The following is a 20,070-nucleotide window of genomic DNA, read 5'->3' on the forward strand; positions in this document are numbered from 1 at the left end:
GTATCCTGAGGGCTGGCAACAATTACAGAGAAGCAAATATAATTTTTTTTACATCCAACAGGATTTGTTCAAGACTCAATTCCTCTTTTCCAAGTAAAGAGAAGAACTTTCTAGGAAGGCTCTGCAATTCTGTCTGTAGAATGTTCTGAGATGTTGGAAATGAACTGTGCTGCCTGAGACTGTGGTCATTAATGACATGTGGCTACTGAATACTTGAAATGTGGATAGTGTGTCTGGGTAACAATTCTAAATTTTATTTAATTTTAATTAATTTTAACTTTAATAGCCACATGTGGTTAGTGGCTATTATTTTAGATAGCATAGCTAGGCATTACCTCTTCAGATACATCATGATTAATGATGGGCTTTGTCCTAGGTAAGAAAGAATAGTTTTGAGAAAATTTGAGGATTCTTCTAAGAGAGGACTTCTTATCCTAAGTCTATGACTGTACTAAGCCCCTCAATTTGCACTAATGCAAATATTTCCCAGTTGTAAATATTTCATGCTTTGTCTCCCCTTTGTGTACTCAGGACTGATGGTAGACCAAACCCACCCTTGCCTAATCTGGCTGTATTGGCCGAAGGAAGAGAAAGGGGGAAGTTCTAGCAGAGAATTAAAGAACATGCTTTTTAAACTTAATTAGATGAACTATCTGAGTTTTCTCCTACTTTGGCCTTTGAATGACTACTGAATTGCCCAGATTTTACAAAGAGTAGAATTTGTTGAATATAATATATATATATTTTTGCTATCAGTTTGTTAGAAATTTGTTACAATATGTTATTATGGTTGACGTTAATCATGAATTAATTTTTGTTGTTGACAGAATGTTCTTTAGTCACCGGACAATTCAAGTAACAGTGTTTCTGTCCAAAAATATTGCCATAAAAAAGGAATGAAATAATGGCATTTGCAGCAACTTGGATGGAGTTGGAGATCATCCTTTCTTTCCTTTCTTTTCCTTCCTTTCTCTCTCTCTCTCTCTCTCTCTCCCCTTCCTTCCCTCCCTTCCTCCCTTCCTCCCTTCTTTCTTCCCTTTTCTTCCCTTTTCTTTTCTTCTTTTCCTTCCTTTCTCTTTCTTTCTTTCTCCTTCCTTCTTTTCTTTCTTTCTCTTTCTTTCTTTCTTTCTTTCTTTCTTTCTTTCTTTCTTTCTTTCTTTCTTTCTTTCTTTCTTTCTTTCTTTCTTTGTTTTCTTTCTTTCTTTCCCTCCCTCCCTCCCTTCCTTCCTTCCTTCCTTCTCTTTTTTTGATGGAGTCTTGCTCTGTTGCCCAGGCTGGAGTGCAATGGCACGATCTTGTCTCACTGCAACCTCCGCCTCCCAGGTCTCCTGCCTCAGCCTCCTGAGTACCTGGGATTACAGGTGCATGCCACCATGCCTGGCTAATTTTTGTACTTTTAGTAGATGCAGGGTTTAACCATGTTGGCCAGGCTGGTCTTGAACTCCTGACCTCAGGTGATCCACCCACCTCGGCCTCCCAAAGTGCTGGGATTACAGGTGTGAGCCACCACAACTGGCCCAGGAGACCATTTTTCAAAGTGAAGTAACCCAGGAATGGAAAACCAAATATTGTATTTTTTTAAAATTATACTTTAAGTTTTAGGGTATACGTGCACAACGTGCCGGTTTGTTACATACGTACACATGTGCCATGTTGGTGGTATTTCTTACTTATAAGTGGGAGCTAAGCTATGAGGATGCAAAGGCATAAGAATGAGATAATGGACTCTGGATTTAGGGGGAAGGATGGGAGTGGGGTGAGGGATAAAAGACTACACATTGGGTTTAGTGTACACTGCTTGAGTGATGGGTGCACCAAAATCTCAGAAATCAGCACTAAAGAACTTACCAATGTAACAAAAATCCACCTGTTTCCTAAAAATATGGAAACAAAATAAAATATATACATATATTTATTCACAAGTTGATATGCCTAGATAAAGCAAAATGTTAGTAAAGAAGCAACATATGTAAAAGGACCACAGAGGAACAAAAGGGAAATATGTTTGGACTAAAGCCTTGGTATAAGTGTGAATAGCATCTAGAGATGATCTCTAAGTATTTGTTGGCAGGATGTTGTATGATGAGACTTAGAATAATTAAATTGCCATCCAGTTGGAACCCAATCAAATGCTGACCTAGGATGAGGTAATTATTTTTAGTTGGTAACTAGATACTCAAAAGGTTTTTCATATCATCTGTGTAGTTCACTCCACCTTGACAAGATCAACCAATCAATTGCAATTAGCCATCCATTCCTTCATCTCATTACTGTTCTTTTCTTGTTTTCCTTTTCAGCAACAATGGCCATGAGGGATTCAAGGATTATGCGGTAAGGTAAATCTTAGTTTCCATTTTACCACTTTTTAAAGCACCAACCACTTATGAGATCTCAACTACTTTTATAATGAATTTCTAATTTATGATTATAATTCTTGCTGTCATTTTATGAAACACAATGTTATTGAAAACAAGAAAAGTTGTTCTGCCTTTGCTATCTTGTCCCTGGTGCATTTTTAGCCCTTCTCATCTCTGTTACTCTCTTCATACTTTTTATTATCTGCTTCTTGCTCTATGAAGGCAGGTATTATGTCTGACTTATTCAGTGTAGTGTCCTCACTAGCCAGACCATGACTGAAAAACAATAGTTACCAAATAGATGTTTATTAAATCTTGTTTTCTGAAGCATAAATATCTTCCTGTTTTCCTGTAATCTTTTGGAACTGTTGTGTTGTGTATGTATTTCTAGAAATCTGGGTGTAGATACATTCATAAGTAGACATGGATCAATCACACATATATATATTTTATTTTTATTATTTCTTTCTAACTTTTATTTTGGGTTGGGGGTACATGTGCAGATTTGTTTGTTACATGGGTAAATTGTGTGTTTTGGGGATTTGATGTACAGATTATTTCATCACCCAGGTAATAAGCATAGTACCCAATAGGTAGTTTTTCATTTCTCATCCTCCTCCCACCTTCCTCTCTCAAGTAGGCCCTGGTGTCTATTGTTCTCTTCGTATCCATGTGTATTCAATGTTTAACTCTCATAAGTGAGAACATGCAGTATTTGGTTTTCTGTTCATGTGTCACTTAGGATAATGGTCTTCAGTTCCATCCATGCTATTGCAAAGAACATGATCTCATTCTTTTTAATGGCTGTGTGGTATTCCATGGTGTATATATGCCACATTTTCTTTATCAATCCACCATTGATGGACATTTATGTTGATTCCATGTCTTTGCTATTGTGAATAGTGCCATGGTGAACATATGCATGCACGTTATCTTTATGTTGGAATGATTTCTATTTCTTTAGGTATATATGCAGTAATGGGATTGTTGGGTTGAATGGTAGTTCTGTTTTCAGTTATTTGAAAAATCTCCAAACTGCCTTCAACAGTGACTGAACTAATTTACATTCCCACCAGCAGTGAATACATGTTCCCTTTTCTCCTCAACCTTGCCAGCAGCTGTTGCTTTTTGACTTTTTAACAATAGCCGTTCTGATTGGTGTGAGACAATATCTCACTGTGGTCTTGATTTGCATTTCTTTAATGATTAGTAATGTGGAGCATTTTTCCACATGCTCATTGGCTGTATGTATGTCTTCTTGTGTCTGTTCATGATCTTTGACCATTTTTTTGGGGTTGACCATTTTTTTGACCATTTAATGGGGTTGCTTGTTTTCTGTTTGTTGGTTTGTTGAAATTCTTCATAGATTCTGGATATTATACCTCTTTTGATACATAGTTTGCAAATATTTTCTCCCATTCTGGAGGTTGTCTGTTTACTGTGTTGATAATTTCTTTTGCTGTGCAGAAGTGCTTTAGTTTAATTAGGTCCCATTTGTCAATTTTTGTTTTTGTTGCAATTGCTTCATCATGAAATCTTTGCCAGGGCCTATGACCAGAATGGTATTTCCCCAGATTTTATATTTTATATAAGTTCTTGATGAAGCATTGTTAAGCATTTTATACAATGAACTTGAGAGAGTACCTGGGGTTCTGAAAAAGCATCTTCAACTACTTCACAAAGAATTTTTACAAAATATGACATTCTACATTTTCTATGGGATAATTGTGTCTGTACTATCTAAGAGTCTCTGGATTCTTTATATTTTTCTAATTTCCATTGAACTTTTGGGTCTCATAGAAAGGAGGCAAGCTGAAGTTGTTACATTAACTAACTAATGAATCAGTTAACCAACAGGCCTTGACTTCCTCCTATGTGAAAGTGACTGGACGAAGTGATTAGACATTGGTGTGCCTGCCTTTGAACTGAAGGCCTTGTTACTGTAGAAGTGTAAATCCCTGTGCCTCCTTTTTCAACACACCTGTTTGGTTTAAAAACAAATATAAGATCTACATTCTATAGAGAACAGAAATTTTCTATACTTTTAATGGCTTCCAAAATGTCTGGATAATTTCATAGTATTAGTGAATATCATGAAAGAGAATAGGAAGTAAAAAAAAAAAGTGAGAAAATGAAACTTTTACTGCTTAAAAAACAGTGGCAAGTTCCCTGAAGTGGTAAATGGACCATCTGTGTGCTCTGGCACCAGAAAATGTATAATTTCTTTAAAAGTACCAGTACATAGCTGTCCTTTTGAATGTATATCTGAAATAATGTATGTATTGTATATGAAAATAAAGCAGGGAGACAGAGTGTACTTTTAAAGCACAGTGTGCATATTTACTTCAAAGCTATTGTCAACAAGAATACAATTTATTAATTTAGGTAAATATAAAGAGTCAGGCTTTTTTTTGTTTATTGGTTTGTTTGTTTTTTTTTTCTTCTTCAATAAGGAGGGTAAGTAGATCACACCTCAAAAATCTGTCTGCTCCCGTTTGGAAAACGATTGCCTTGAATCTTGAACACCTTATTGGAAATACTACAGACATTGCAGTTGGAAAGGGGTAACTTCAGTTCTGACGGAACCCACTATCTCTCCCAGTAGTCATAGGGCTTGTATGTTCGGGAACACCCAAGTCCTACCAATAGCTTTTATAGTTGTTCAGCATTAAACTCAGAGTCAAGGGAAAGAATTTGTTATGTTCTTTGTCTCATTTAAATTTCTTCCTTCTTTTCAGTGCTGGTTGAGTATGTATGAAGTTTACAGCAACACAGAAATCAGAGATTAAACATCTTGGTAGAATTAATTTAGTGTCCAGCATTGTACTTTTTTCTCTATGAATGCAAATTTCCTGTTCACCTTAAAACTCTCTGTGGGGAGGAAGTAGCAGTTATCAGAGGTGATAACATGGAGACCCAACCAGTAACCTTTTAGCAAAGCACAAGTTTCTAGAATTTCTTTTTTTAAATCCTTAATAATAATCTTTTATGTATTTATTTATTTTTATTAAAAAATTTTTAAATTTTTTATTTCCATAGGATTTTGGGGAACAGGTGGTGTTTGGTTACATGAGTCAGTTCTTTAGTGGGGATTTGTGAGATTTTGGTGCACCCATCACCCAAGCAGTATACAGTGAACCCAATTTGTAGCTTTTTATCCCTCACCCCCTTCCTGCCCTTTTCCCTGCCAGTGCCCAAAGTCCATTGTATCATTCTTAGGCCTTTACATTCTCATAGCTTAGCTCCCACTTATGAGTGAGAACATACGATGTTTGGTTGTCCATTCCTGAGTTACCTCACTTAGAATAATAGTCTCTAATCCCATCCACGTTGCTGTGAATGCCATTAATTCATTCCTATTTACGGCGGAGAAGTATTCCATCATATATATGTGTGTATATATATTATACACATATATATCATACATATACATGTATATATATACAAATATATGTATATATGGATAATATGTATATATACATATATGTGTATATATGGATAAAGAAACTGATATACATGTATGTATGATATATGTGTATTATATATGTGTATTATATGTATATATACATATATATCTCATATATACATATATACACATGTGTGTATATATAGCTCATATTATATCTATATATTATATATAATTCATATATATCTCTCTCAGTTTATATATATTTCTATATATTATATATATATAAAATTCATATATATATATATCTCTCTCTCACAGTTTCTTTATCCACTCTTTGATTGATGGGCATTTGAGCTGGTTCCATATTTTGTAATTGTGAATTATGCTGCTATAAACATGCGTGTGCAAGTATCTTTTTCTTATAATGACTTCTTTTCCTCTGGGTAGATACCCAGTAGTGGGATTGCTGGATCAAATGGTAGCTCTACTTTTAGTTCTTTAAGGAATCTTTACACTGTTTTCCATAGTGGTTGTACTAGTTTACATTCCTACCAACAGTGTGGAAGTGTTCCCTTTTCACCACATCCACGCCAACATTTATTATTTTTGAGTTTTCAATTATGGCCTTTCTTGAGGGAGTAAGGTGGTATGGCATTGTGGTTTTGATTTGCATTTCCCTGATCATTAGTGATGTTAAGCATTTTTTCATATGTTTTTTGTCCATTTGTATATCTTCTTTTGAAAATCATCAAAAACAAAGGTAAATATGTAGGACTTAATTAAACTAAAGAGCTTCTGTACAGCAAAAGGAACAGTCAGCAGAGTAAACAGACAACACACAGAATGGGAGAAAATCTTCACAATCAACAGAATTGGTTTTCTTCCACCATTCCTCTTCAGGAAGCCCTTTCCAGATGAAGGTCGGCATTGCATTTCCGCCAAGCTAGTCTCCTTTCAGTTTTTGGCAAGGGTCAGGGTCTTTTGCACCTCTGCACCTTCTCATTTGCTGTTCCCTGAGCCTGGAACACTCTCTGCTGGGTGAATTTCTACTTATCCCTCAGATCTCAGCTTAAATATTTCCCCTTCACAGGAGTTGTTTGTGCTTTGACTTAATTTACGTTGTGTGTATTTTGCCTCTAAAAGAGATTTGTAAAAGTTAGAATTTTAAAGTTGAACCAAAGAGAAATTGTTGTCATTTGTGACCAAACCAAAATTTATTTATTGTTGATTTTTTTAAAAATCATCTCTGTTTCTGACTGACATTAACGACACTATAATTTTTTTCTCTTTTTCAATAATGATTCTTTCTTTTTCTCTGGTATTGAGTTTCTTCTCTTTACATTGTGGTGATTTCTTTTTCACTTTTCCTTCCCCTAAGTTTTCATAATTTTAGCTTGGTTGCCTTACAGATTATCACTTAACTCTATTTTTTTCTCCCCTCATTTTTATTGCAAATATCACACATACTAAAAAGTGCATGAAATTTACAGATACCATTTAAAAACTCGTCATAGAACAAACATTTGTGTAACTGCTAGTCACTTCTTGAAGTAACCATTATCCTGACTTAAAAAAAAAGATTTCCTTGCTTTCTTTACTATTCATTTATGTATACTTAAATGATATAGTTTAGTTTTGCCTATTCTTGAAATTTACATGCACAGAAAAATGCTGTATATATTTTTTGTGGCTTGTTTTTATTCAATATTAAAGACTTACCAGTTATTGAATGCATTTGTAGATTATTTCTAAAATTTGTTTTTCTGTTTTACTATTAATGGAATACAATTTGGGTTGCTTCTAGATGTATATTTTCAGGCATATATCCTGGTGTATATGTGCATGAGTCCCTCTTGGATATATAGGCTTAATTTTGTTGGATCATTGGGCATTTATACCTTTATTTTTACTAGATAATGGCAAACTCTTTTACAAAGTCGTTGTATCAATGAACACTTCTACCAGCAGTGAGTTCCCATTGCTCAGCATTTTTGCCAATGTTTGATATTATTAGACTTCTATATATTTTTTATCCTTTTAATGTGTGTATTACTGATAACTAAGTAGGTTTCATGTCTTTCTACATGTTTATGTGCCATTTGGATGCCTTCTTTTGATTAGCTGTTTGTCCATTTTCCCCTTGGGTACCTGCTTTTTTTCCATTGATTCATGTGAGATTTGTATATCACAGAGCGGTAGGAGTGAGGAGGGCTGTGTTCCATGCAGTCATTCAGAAACCCAGGCTCTTCCAGTCAGTAGTTCTATTACCTCCTGGAACCTTGGAATCCTTCACCAGATCCTCCACATTTGGCCAGCATCTGAGGAGAGACATAACGTAAGAGGAGGAGGATCATGTGGAAAGTTTTACAGGAGTCAGGCCTGTATATCGGTGCTGTATATCGGTCACTTCCGCCTAAATTCCAGTGGCCAGATGCCAATTATATGGTCCCGGGGAAATACAAGTGAGGTTCGGAAATATGCTCAGAGCGCTCACGATAAAAAGGACATTGGTTTGGTGAACCCAAAGCACTGTCTCTGCCATACATCCCATGATCATGATGATAGATGATATTCTCCTTTATCATTTTCTAAAAGCTTTATAGTTTTTCATTCGAACGTTTAATTTGTAGTTATTTTTGGTGTGAAGTAGGCAGCTGATTTCACATGTTAATTAATTTAGATGTCCAATTTTTCTACCATCATCTTTAAAAATCTGTCCTTTCTTGATCCATAATGTGGCATTTATAATTGATCAAGAGTCAATATTTGGGTGAGTGTATTTTAAGGCTCTCTATTCTGTTTTGTTACTCTATGGATCTTCACTGTGTCAATATCACATACATCACATTGTATACATATACAATGCCTTTTTAAAAATGAGAAACCAAGGGAAAAGTGTCTGTCTATAACTGCCTCACTCAGGCCTTAAAGAAGGTATTTAACTGTTGTAGGTGGAATGTCTCTACAATGGAGAGGATAATAGACTACTAAGACAGTTGATGGGTTAGGTTTAATTTATCAAAGGTACTGTTTAATATTAAATAAAATTCATACTATTTGGGCCTATAGAGTATTTATATTTAAGTTGATTATATATTTCTTTAAAATGGTAAAGCAATTTAAATGACAATTTAGTACATTTGACTTATGTCACTTCTTAGTCTCTTTCTGCTGCATTAATGACTGTGTTCTCTTGTGAAAATTAGCAACATGAAGCACTTTCTCTTACAAGAACTTTTGTTTTGTTTATTTTCTCACCCATTTTGTGTCTTTCTTCTTTTTATCTTTGTTTGTTTTCTGGAGGTTTTAATTTCTCTTAATCTGAATAGCATTCATTTATATAGAATGATCTTCAGCCATTTGCTAAAAGCCCCGTTCCATTATTTTCTCAGTTGGTTTCCTTTCCTTTTTTTATTTAATGCAAAAGAATGAGTTCTTTTTGCTTTTATATCTTTGAAGAGTCCCTTATGAATCCACAGAATCTATTTCTTGATGCTTGCATTTTTTTCTATGAAACTATAGCTGATTTCTTCTTTTTGCAGTTCCAACTCTCTTCTATAGTCATGCATTTTTATAGCTTCCTCCCCTACTCCAGTGGTTCCCCACCTGTTCACTCATGAGCCATGAGTGGCTCACAAACCTGTTTCAGGTGGCCCATAAGTCTCCTGTCAGCTCACCGCCCAGCCTTCACAAGCAAAGTGGGTCACCAACGAGGCCTTCTCATGCTTCCTAGCAACTGGTAGGGCCCAAACCCACCTGCTCTGCAGTTTCTCCTCCCACCATGGAAAAAAAAACCCTTCATTCAAGTTTATGACTCATAACGTTATAAATGAAGCATATCAGAGTAATCTGAATAATAAAAAAATGCCCTACCACCTCACACCATACCAATAGGAAGTCCACATTTCCTTAAGACTTGCGAACCAAGTATGAACTCAGTCACAAACTCAAAATCACCTTGCAAAATGTCATGGTTTTATTTATCAATAAGTAAACTCAGCCTAGATTTAAAAACCTGCCTTGGCTCGGTAGTAGAAAATTTGCCAGCTCCAGAAAATTCTTTAACTTCTAGTCTAGCACTTGGTTCCTTAGTAGGGAAAGAGTGGTAATTAGCCAAATGAGTGTTCTCCACTGTCTGGATTTTTCTCTTTCTCCTAGGTTGGATTGGGGTCCAAATCCAAATCACATATGTCATAGGTTGTCGTGTGGGGAGGTTGGCATGTGTTTCTGATTACCTTCTATGCTGGTTTGCCTCTTCTGAGGTGGAATTCGTCCCTTCAAGCCTTGGGCTGTACTACCTAAGTCTGCATCACCTACTGCTGATGTCAGCCATTTCTCCATGGCTCCCAGGGGTTGGCTTCTCTTATTCTGTTCTCTCCTGACTCTGTGCTGCCCTCATAACAGCCATGAGGCCTCTTCTGGACTATCAGTCCCTCAGCCACTTGTGTGCATACTTAGTGGCAGGGTGGAGGGGGAAAGAGTGTGAGAGGATGGAGGCCAAAGGCTTTCCGTACAGCACTTTGGTATGCTCAGGATTCTAGGAGTTTTCTTTGAGGTCTGTCTTCTTAGAAATATTCTTCAGTCATTGCTTCTTTACTGTTTTAGGTACCATGTTGGCTTGGTAGTAGAACACTTAATCTTGTCAGTTCCAGAAAATTTACTGACTTTTAGTCTAACATTTTGTCCCTTAGTAGGGAGGGGGTGGTAATTAATGAGCCAAATGAGGATTCTAGAAGAATCCTATGTGGCTTGCAGCCTTTCAGTTTATGCCCCAGCCTTTCAAGGGGGCTGCTTGGGAATCTTCTGTTCTGCTTGGGGATCTTCTCTGAGCTTTCTGTTATCCTGCTGCTTCTGGGGGCTGGCTTGGGATCCTGGTGCTGCTGCTCTCTTTCCTCTCTTTGACAAGGGATGGAGCCCTCTTTTTCCTCTGGGTGGGTGATGGTATTACATTACCCTGCATTCATCCACTCCATGGTTTAGATCATGTGGGTCCTCCAGGATTTGGTGCTTTATACTGAATCCAACCTCTTGAATTAAAAAAAGAAAACTTTTCTCCTTTAAGTGTCTGACTCTTGCAACTGAAAAGATGTAGCTTTTAAGATTGTTGTCTCTGCTCTAGATTTATAAAAAATTGATTTCAGAACTAAACAGCCAAGAATGTAATGTTTTATTCTCTTCCCCAAGTCTCTTCCCTAAGGTAAGTGCATGTTGAAAGACATTACTGCTGCTTGAATTGGGGGTTGGGGATGGAAAGTGAGGAATGGAGCCACTCACATAGAGATTTGACTAAAATATTACCTTTTTGAATCTGTCTTTCTTTATGGAAAGTGTGTGATAATCACAAAATGGTCTATCTCTCCTTCATTTATCATTCTCTCAGTAGTGCTACCATATTAGAAAATCCAGTGACTTATAAGTACATGAAAAGACTAAATAATTGTAATAAGCTATTGCCTATAACAAAGTCAGTTGCCAAGTCCTGTGAATTCTTCCTTCACAAAATCTCAGAGGACTAGACACTTAAAAAAGAGTTATGACATTCTAAAATATTTAGAAATACATTACTTCATTTGTAATTTTAATTATAATGATACAGGTATTTTAATGGAGGCGATGTGAGAGTATCTTAGACCCATTTTGCACTTCTGACCTACAGAGTGGTAAGAAAATAAACTGGAATTGTTTTAAGACACTGTGTTTGTGGCAATTTGTTATAGCAGCCATGGAAGATGAATACAGGATTCTTAAATCTGATTGGCACAGTCTAGGCTATGTGTCTAAGCTCCAAATAGGAAAACTGGAAAAATGAGTGTATGTTTTCAGTTTCTCTACTGGGGAAATGGGCTCTGCTGTCACTAAGACTCATGAGAACACAAGAAGTATGTTCTAATGCTGGTAGCTCACCCAACCACCAGACAAATACTATTGACTACAAGAGTTTTTATACAGTGGTTTCCAAATGTGTTAGATAGCAGGGCCTCTATTTTCTATGTTTTATTGGCATATCTCCAGAACCTCATCTGGAAAGGCTGCATTAGAAATAATAATGATAAAGAGCATAGCACAGTGCCCAGTACATAGTACACACTCAAAAAATGGTAGTCTCTTTGTGGTTGCTATTGCTAAGCTACACTAAGCCCTCAACCAACAAGTTTGATTATTGCAGAAAACTACTGTCCTATTAGACTTCTTGTGAAAGGGAAAAAAATACTCTGGTGCAAACTATGGGAAGATTGAGGCAGTGGAACCTCAGTAGATGATCAGGAAGTAGATGAGGAGCTAGGCATGAGGAGAGAGAAAGAGTAGCCTGGCAGTGAAGTCCAGTCCTCTGAGATTCTGTGAAGGAAGGATTCACAGGGCTTGGTAACTGAGTTTTTCTTTTCTTTTTTTTTTTTTTTTTTTGTTAAATGATTAACATTGGTTTGTTTGTTCTTTTTTATTTTATTTTATTTTATTATTATTATACTTTAAGTTTTAGGGTACATGTGCACAATGTGCAGGTTAGTTACATATGTACACATGTGCCATGCTGGTGTGCTGCACCCATTAACTCGTCATTTAGCATTAGGTATATCTCCTAATGCTATCCCTCCCCCCTCCCCCCACCCCACAACAGTCCCCAGAGTGTGATATTCCCCTTCCTGTGTCCATGTGTTCTCATTGTTCAATTCTCACCTATGAGTGAGAACATGCGGTGTTTGGTTTTTTTTGTCCTTGCGATAGTTTACTAAGAATGATGATTTCCAATTTCATCCATGTCCCTACAAAGGACATGAACTCATCATTTTTATGGCTGCATAGTATTCCATGGTGTATATGTGCCACATTTTCTTAATCCAGTCTAGCATTGTTGGACATTTGGGTTGGTTCCAAGTCTTTGCTATTGTGAATAGTGCCACAATAAACATACGTGTGCATGTGTCTTTATAGCAGCATGATTTATAGTCCTTTGGGTATATACCCAGTAATGGAATGGCTGGGTCAAATGGTATTTCTAGTTCTAGATCCCTGAGGAATCGCCACACTGACTTCCACAATGGTTGAACTAGTTTACAGTCCCACCAACAGTGTAAAAGTGTTCCTATTTCTCCACATCCTCTCCAGCACCTGTTGTTTCCTGACTTTTTAATGATCGCCATTCTAACTGGTGTGAGATGGTATCTCATTGTGGTTTTGATTTGCATTTCTCTGATGGCCAGTGATGGTGAGCATTTTTTCATGTGTTTTTTACCTGCATAAATGTCTTCTTTTGAGAAGTGTCTGTTCATGTCCTTTGCCCACTTTTTGATGGGGTTGTTTGCTTTTTTCTTGTAAATTTGTTTGAGTTCATTGTAGATTCTGGATATTAGCCCTTTGTCAGATGAGTAGGTTGCGAAAATTTTCTGCCTTTTTGTAGGTTGCCTGTTCACTCTGATGGTAGTTTCTTTTGCTGTGCAGAAGCTCTTTAGTTTAATTAGATCCCATTTGTCAATTTCAGGTTTTGTTGCCATTGCTTTTGGTGTTTTAGACATGAAGTCCTTGCCCATGCCTATGTCCTGAGTGGTAATGCCTAGGTTTTCTTCTAGGGTTTTTATGGTTTTAGGTCTAATGTTTAAGTCTTTAATCCATCTTGAATTAATTTTTGTATAAGGTGTAAGGAAGGGATCCAGTTTCAGCTTTCTACATATGGCTAGCCAGTTTTCCCAGCACCATTTATTAAATAGGGAATCCTTTCCCCATTGCTTGTTTTTATCAGGTTTGTCAAAGATCAGATAGTTGTAGATACGTGGCGTTATTTCTGAAGGCTCTGTTCTGTTCCATTGATCTATATCTCTGTTTTGGTACCAGTACCATGCTGTTTTGGTTACTGTAGCCTTGTAGTATAGTTTGAAGTCAGGTAGCATGATGCCTCCAGCTTTGTTCTTTTGGCTTAGGATTGACTTGGCGATGCGGGCTATTTTTTGGTCCCATATGAACTTTGAAGTAGTTTTTTCCAATTCTGTGAAGAAAGTCATTGGTAGCTTGATGGGGATGGCACTGAATCTGTAAATTACCTTGGGCAGTATGGCCATTTCCATGATATTGATTCTTCCTACCCATGAGCATGGAATGTTCTTCCATTTGTTTGTATCCTCTTTTATTTCATTGAGCAGTGGTTTGTAGTTCTCCTTGAAGAGGTCCTTCATGTCCCTTGTTAGTTGGATTCCTAGGTATTTTATTCTCTTTGAAGCAATTGTGAATGGGAGTTCACTCATGATTTGGCTCTCTGTTTGTCTGTTATTGGTGTATAAGAATGCTTGTGTTTTTTGTACATTGATTTTGTATCCTGAGACTTTGCTGAAGTTGCTTATCAGCTTAAGGAGATTTTGGGCTGAGACGATGGGGTTTTCTAGATAAACAATCATGTCGTCTGCAAACAGGGACAATTTGACTTCCTCTTTTCCTAATTGAATACCCTGGTAACTGAGTTTTTCATAGGGAATGGATTTAAAAAGAGTCAAGGCAGCTGCAAGGTTTGAATCCTAGAGACTATTCAAAAAGTAGTGGTACCAAATGGAGACTTAGGAAAAGGAGCTGTTTGGGGGCAAATTTTTGGTTTATTTTTAGATTTCCTTTAGGAAATTTGAAATTGGGGCTAGAATCAGTTGAAGTGTTGGGCTTGACCAGGTACAGTGGCTCACTTACCCATAATCCCAATATTTTGGGAGGCCAAGGGAAGAGGATCACTTGAGATCAGGAGTTCAAGACCAGCCTTGGCAACATAGCAAAGCCCCATCTCTAAAAAGTATTTTTTAAGAAATTAACCAGGTATGGTGGCACATCCTGATGTCTTAGCTACTTGGGAGGCTAAGACAGGAGGATTGCTTGAAACAGGAGTTTGAGTTTGCAGTGAGCTATGATCGTACCACTGTACTCTCTATCTCAAAAAAAAAAAATGTTGAGTTTGCACATGTGGCTTCAGGTGTCACTAGAATATTGGCTTGCTTACATTTTAAGAGTGTGTGAATTGGGGGCTGTCACAGTGGCTCACGCCTGTAATCCCAGCACTTTGGGAGGCTGAGGCGGGTGATCACCAGGAGTTCAAGATCAGCCTGGCCAACATGGTGAAACCCCGTCTCTACTAAAAATACAAAAAATTAGCTGAGTGTGGTGGCAGGCATCTGTAATCCCAGCTACTTGGGAGCCTGAGGCAGGAGAATTTCGTGAACCTGGGAGGCAGAGGTTGTAGTGAGCTGAGATTGTACCATTGCACTCCAGCCTGGGCAACAAGAGTGAAAGTGTGTCTCAAAAAAAAAAAAAGTGTGTGACTTGGGTGAGACCCAAAGGAGGAAGAGTACTTGCACATAAATTTTGGCACGAAAATCAGAATTTTGAGATCATTTGATTCACTTCACTCTATCTATAGATAAGGAAATGAGATCAAGACGTTTTAAGTGGAAAGGAAAAACAATTTTAAGTGGAAAGGAAAAACAATCAGTGAAAGAGACTGAAAACAAACATACTGGGTTGTTCTTGCATTGCTATAAATAAATACCCAAGGCTGAGTAATTTATAAGAAAAGAGGTTTAATTGGCTCATGGTTCTGCAGGCTGTACAGGAAGCACAGTGCCAACATCTGGTTGGCTTCTGGGGAGGCCTCAGGGAGCTTTTATTCAAGGGGGAAAGGAAAGGGGGAGAAGGCACATCACATGGCAAAAGCAGGAGCAAGAGAGAGAGAGAGTGGAGGAGGAGGTGCCACATACTTTTAAATGACCAGATCTCACAAGAACTCACTATCATGAGGACACCATCAAGAGGATGGTGCTAAACCATTCATGAGAAATCCCCCATGATCCAATTACCTCCTACCTGGCCCCACCTCCAACATTGGGGATCACAGTTTGAGGCATGAGATTTGTTGGGGACACAGATCCAAATTCTATCAACAAGCAATCAGAGGTATACCAAAACAGTCGCAGAGGTCCAATATTACAGAAGCAAGGGATAAGAGATGCAGGTGCCTCAAAGAAGAAATTGAAAAAACTAAGAGTCTGAGTCTACTCCCAGAGGTTCTAGGTGGTACTAGACATGTTTTATATGTTAGCCTATTTAATTCTCACAGCATCCCTGCAATGTAAAATGTTACTGACATCTTAGGTTGGTGAAACTGAGGCTAGGAGAGATTCATTTCCCTGCCAAAGATCACACAGCTTTTCAGTGGTAGAGCTGGGATTTGACCTCATTTACCTGACTCCCAAACCCTCTTCGACTATAGGAAATTTTTAGAGTGGGAGAGACATCTGGAGGGACAAGAATCATTTTAAGAGACAATTTTTGAACTCCTTAAAATTAACCCCATAGGAAGATCCTTTTGTGGTTTTTATCCCCAACTCAGCCCAGAACATTTTATCACTGACTGAAAATTCTGAAGGTGCAAACTCTAAATACAGGTGAGCAAATTCCAGGTACATAGTGGAGTCACAGAGGCCTGCTTGGTCCAGTTTGAGAGAAAGGTTGTATTGCTACTATAGCCTCTTGGTCTAATTCCCTGAAAACTTCATTTTCTAGCTCAGGCCTTTTCTGATTAGTCTAGTTTCTCTTTTTAGACCTTCAGTCATACCTGGAGCATTCCATCTTCTACCCCCTAAATGTTGAGAGTCACATCTCATCTGCCTGAAGTCCCAGGTCTACTCAGGTCCCTTTAATTATAAAGTCCTTTTGAGCTAACTTTTGTCTTGATTCTTATCTTCTATTTTCCAAACTACTTTTTGGTTCATTTCCCTGCTTAGAGCTATTCCTAATAGTAGCTTGTCTGAGTTACCTATTTAACATTTACATGTGTAAGAATCCAATTGACATCTCAACATACACAGCACTGTAAAAAGGCATGTATGCAATTTGGGCATAAATAAGGCCATGGTTATTTTTCAAGAGTAATTCATGATAGAAAGATATGGCACATTTGAGGAAGTCATAGGTTTAGAAGTGAGATTTCAGAGCAGCAGTGAAGTAGATAGTATAGGAACACCAGAGATCCAGGTACAAACTCTTGGTTTGAAAAGCTTGGTTGAGGAGAAAGAGTGGGTTGGTAGTTGTCAGGGTTTTTAAGAACTTTTAGTTGCTGCAGTTGTTTACTTTTAAGTAGAGGCTGCTAAGAATAATGGATTGAGAGACAAGAGAGCATAGTGATTAAGAACTGGACCTCAGTGTACAGAAGTGGGTGTTTGGGACATGCTTCTTTTTTTCTTTTTTTACTTCAAGTCCTGGGATACATGTACAGATGGGGAACGATTCTTAACCAACCAAGTCCTTGCTACTCAAAGTGTGGTCTACAGACTAACATTCATTTGTAGCACCCGGAGCCTGTTAGAAATGCAGAATCCTGGTCTTTGCCTCAGGTCTGTGTATTTTGAAAAGATGCCTGGAGGATTCATGTGTGTATTATCATTCTAGTTCCCTCATCTTTAAAACAGGGACAATGGGCCAGGCGTGGTGGCTCACGCCTGTAATCCCAGCACTATGGGAGGCCGAGGCGGGCTGATCACAAGGTGAGGAGATCGAGACCATCCTGGCTAACACGGTGAAACCCTGTCTCTACCAAAAATACAAAAAATTAGCTGGGCGTGGTGGCAGGCGCCTGTAGTCCCAGCTACTGGGGATTCTGAGGCAGGAGAATGATGTGAACTGGGGAGGTGGAGCTTGCAGTGAGCCGAGATCGCACCACTGCACTCCAGCCTGGGAGGCAGAGTGAGACTCCGTCTCAAACAAAACAAAACAAAACAAACAAAAACAAGGGACAATGATGATACCTATGTTGTAGAGCAGTTGTGAGAATGCAATGGCATGATGCATGTCAGGCACATACTAGGTGCTCAATACATATTTGATTGTTGTTATTGCTATGATTGAAGATGCTGCAGAAAGAAAGCATAAGTTTGATAAAATAATTCCTTAGCAGGAAAGTAGGGATAAGTTTTGGATGTAGCCAGAAGAGCTAGCTTTAGGGAGAAGCAGAGCTGCTTTGCCACAGGGCCATCCGGGGCAGATGATCTCTCTCTAACAATTCTCCCGTCTTGGAGAGGGGTAATCTCTGAGCCCCAGCTCCCATCCCTCAGAATCTTTAGTTTTTCCAATTCTCTTCAAAAAGTATTAAAATTCTGAAAATTATGAAGACTATCTTTGAACACTCCTATAGAAAGTAGCTGTATTCACTAAAGACATTTAAGTGAATCCAGCAGTCGGGCCTTAGGATTAAATGTGGGTAGAGGTGCTGGTTTTTGACCTGGTATCCAATATTTGTTTGAATTTTACTTAAATTGGTGGCAACTTTTGAATGCATGGTTTTGTGAAGGAATAGACAGTAAAGATAATGTTATTTCTGTTGTTTCCATGACAACGGACATGCTTCATGGAATATATCCATCATGCATAGTCTTGAACCATCTGGTTTCTAAGTCCTTGGTGAAAACCCTCTAGGAATGAAGTGTAGGTAAACTTTAATCAGTTTTATAATTACTGTAGTCTTTGCAAAAATTATTTAACTTGATTTTGCAGCTGCTTCAACATAAGGCCCAGAGGTCTTATTAGGGTTTTTATTGCCACTTTTAAGGAGCAGTTTAAGAGTCATGATTGTGCTGTAGCTGCAGATGCCACTGTTTCTGTCTTTGGTTCTGAGACTAGGTTGTAGTGACATCACACAAAGATGGAGAAAGGGCAAAGTTATTTTTTCCAACTGGCTCTGTCAAATATAAAAATTAACCATACTTTGAGCTGGGTTTTATGTATTGGTAATGTATGTTTATGTTAGAGTTTCTGTCAAAACAGGGATTAAAGATAAATGTAGCTAATTAAAAGAACATTTGCTTAGAGCTCCTGGTAATAGATACCTCTTTGTGAGGTCCTGAGGTATGGCTTTCTTTAAGAACCGATGCAATTTGTGTGACTGAAGAAGAGAGGAGACTCGATTTTCTGAAAATAAAACACGAGTCTGAGAATTATCCAGAGTGAGCTCTAAGGAAATAAACGAAGTAATGGCTAGGTAAAGTTTGCTTATGTGGTGAGTTATATAAAACGTGTGTCTACCCTACTTCTGACCTTTCACACTACTAAATGATATTTCCCAACAAAGCCTTTGAAGTAAAGCAGTACCTTTTAGCTGGTACTAGATCAATCAACTTATTTCAAACTGAACTCTAGATGATTAAAAATAAAACAAAAACTTTCAGAATCAAATTAGGCAATTGTTGTCTTTTTTTCCTTAATTTTACCAGGCAGTTGAACTTTTTCTGCTAATGACTGCATTCCTGGCATCTGTGTTTTCTTGTTTCCCTGCAGTGAGGGGGAAAAATGTGGGAACCAAAGAATAGTTTTTCTTGCCTCCCATCGACCACCAAAGTCAACAGGATTAAGTTCCAAAAGACAATTCCTATGAACTAGAAGGCATCTTATAAAAGTGATAGCCTAATTTACCTCTCATAAACTCATTGGTCTTATAAGCTACATGTTTCCATGGTGCTTTGCAAAGGAACAATTGTAACTACCAATGAAGAAGTTTAAATGTTAGATATAGGATGTGGTAAAACTTCCAAATAAACCACAATGGTTACCAAATATTTTGATATTTGAAACTATTTTATATTTGAGAGGGTGAGGGACTATCAAAATGATCTAATTGTTGGAGTGATTCTGGAACTTATTTCTAACCTCTAATCGACATAACTTAAGAAGTGCCATTTCTAGAATTTAAATATTTATTAGCTTTAAACCCCTTGCCAGGGACCACCCCTGCTCCCCCAAACATACATATACCACAAAGAGCTACATAAAATAAAGAGCTATATAAAACTAGTGACTATATAAAGAGCTACACTCATTTTAATAAAATGTTCTTTGAAGATTAAGAGTTGCCAAGTTTCTGGATATAAAATTTAAGTTTTTGCCACTAGATTACTGAAAAGGGTTTATGTTAGAAACTTAATTGTGAATATAGTAATTCTACCACCAGAGGGCTCCGTTTTTTTTCTTGAATGTAGCCAGAGAGAAAGAAGAGATGAGTCTTGGTACTACATTTTTTTTCTCATTCCACCTGTCCAAGCCATAGACCATAGCTTAAAGGCAAAAATGTAGGTTTCCATTTTTCTGGTTTTAAAAATATATAGAAAAATATTTGCTTTTCGGTCTCTAGGGCAGTTTTATTTCCCCTATGGAGGTAAAGGGAAAAAAAATCAAAGCATCTTACAAGCTTCTATCATTGTGTGTGTGTGTGTGTGTGTGTGTGTGTGTGTGTGTGTGTGATGTTGAGATTCTTATTTCCTTGACAAATCTTGAGATCTCCTTAGAATCAGG

General features: G+C 37.6%; 1 long non-coding RNA gene across 9 annotated transcripts in view; it reads left to right on the plus strand.

Moving 5' to 3' along the window:
• CFAP418-AS1 (CFAP418 antisense RNA 1) overlaps positions 1-20,070 on the plus strand; it is a 541,308-nt gene that overhangs the window by 339,531 nt on the left and 181,707 nt on the right. For 5 of the 9 annotated variants that reach the window (NR_038201.1, NR_038203.1, NR_038209.1 and 2 more), the window contains one exon: positions 2,298-2,331. The exons of 2 other annotated variants lie outside the window; for them this stretch is intronic. This is a non-coding gene — a long non-coding RNA (CFAP418 antisense RNA 1). Of the gene's footprint in view, positions 1-2,297; positions 2,337-20,070 lie in introns of all 9 variants that reach the window. 2 more of the 9 variants (NR_038206.1, NR_038205.1) reach the window with 1 other exon arrangement.

This window comes from Homo sapiens, chromosome 8 (assembly GCF_000001405.40).
Source record: "Homo sapiens chromosome 8, GRCh38.p14 Primary Assembly".
In the NCBI taxonomy this organism is placed as follows: Eukaryota; Metazoa; Chordata; class Mammalia; order Primates; family Hominidae; genus Homo; species Homo sapiens.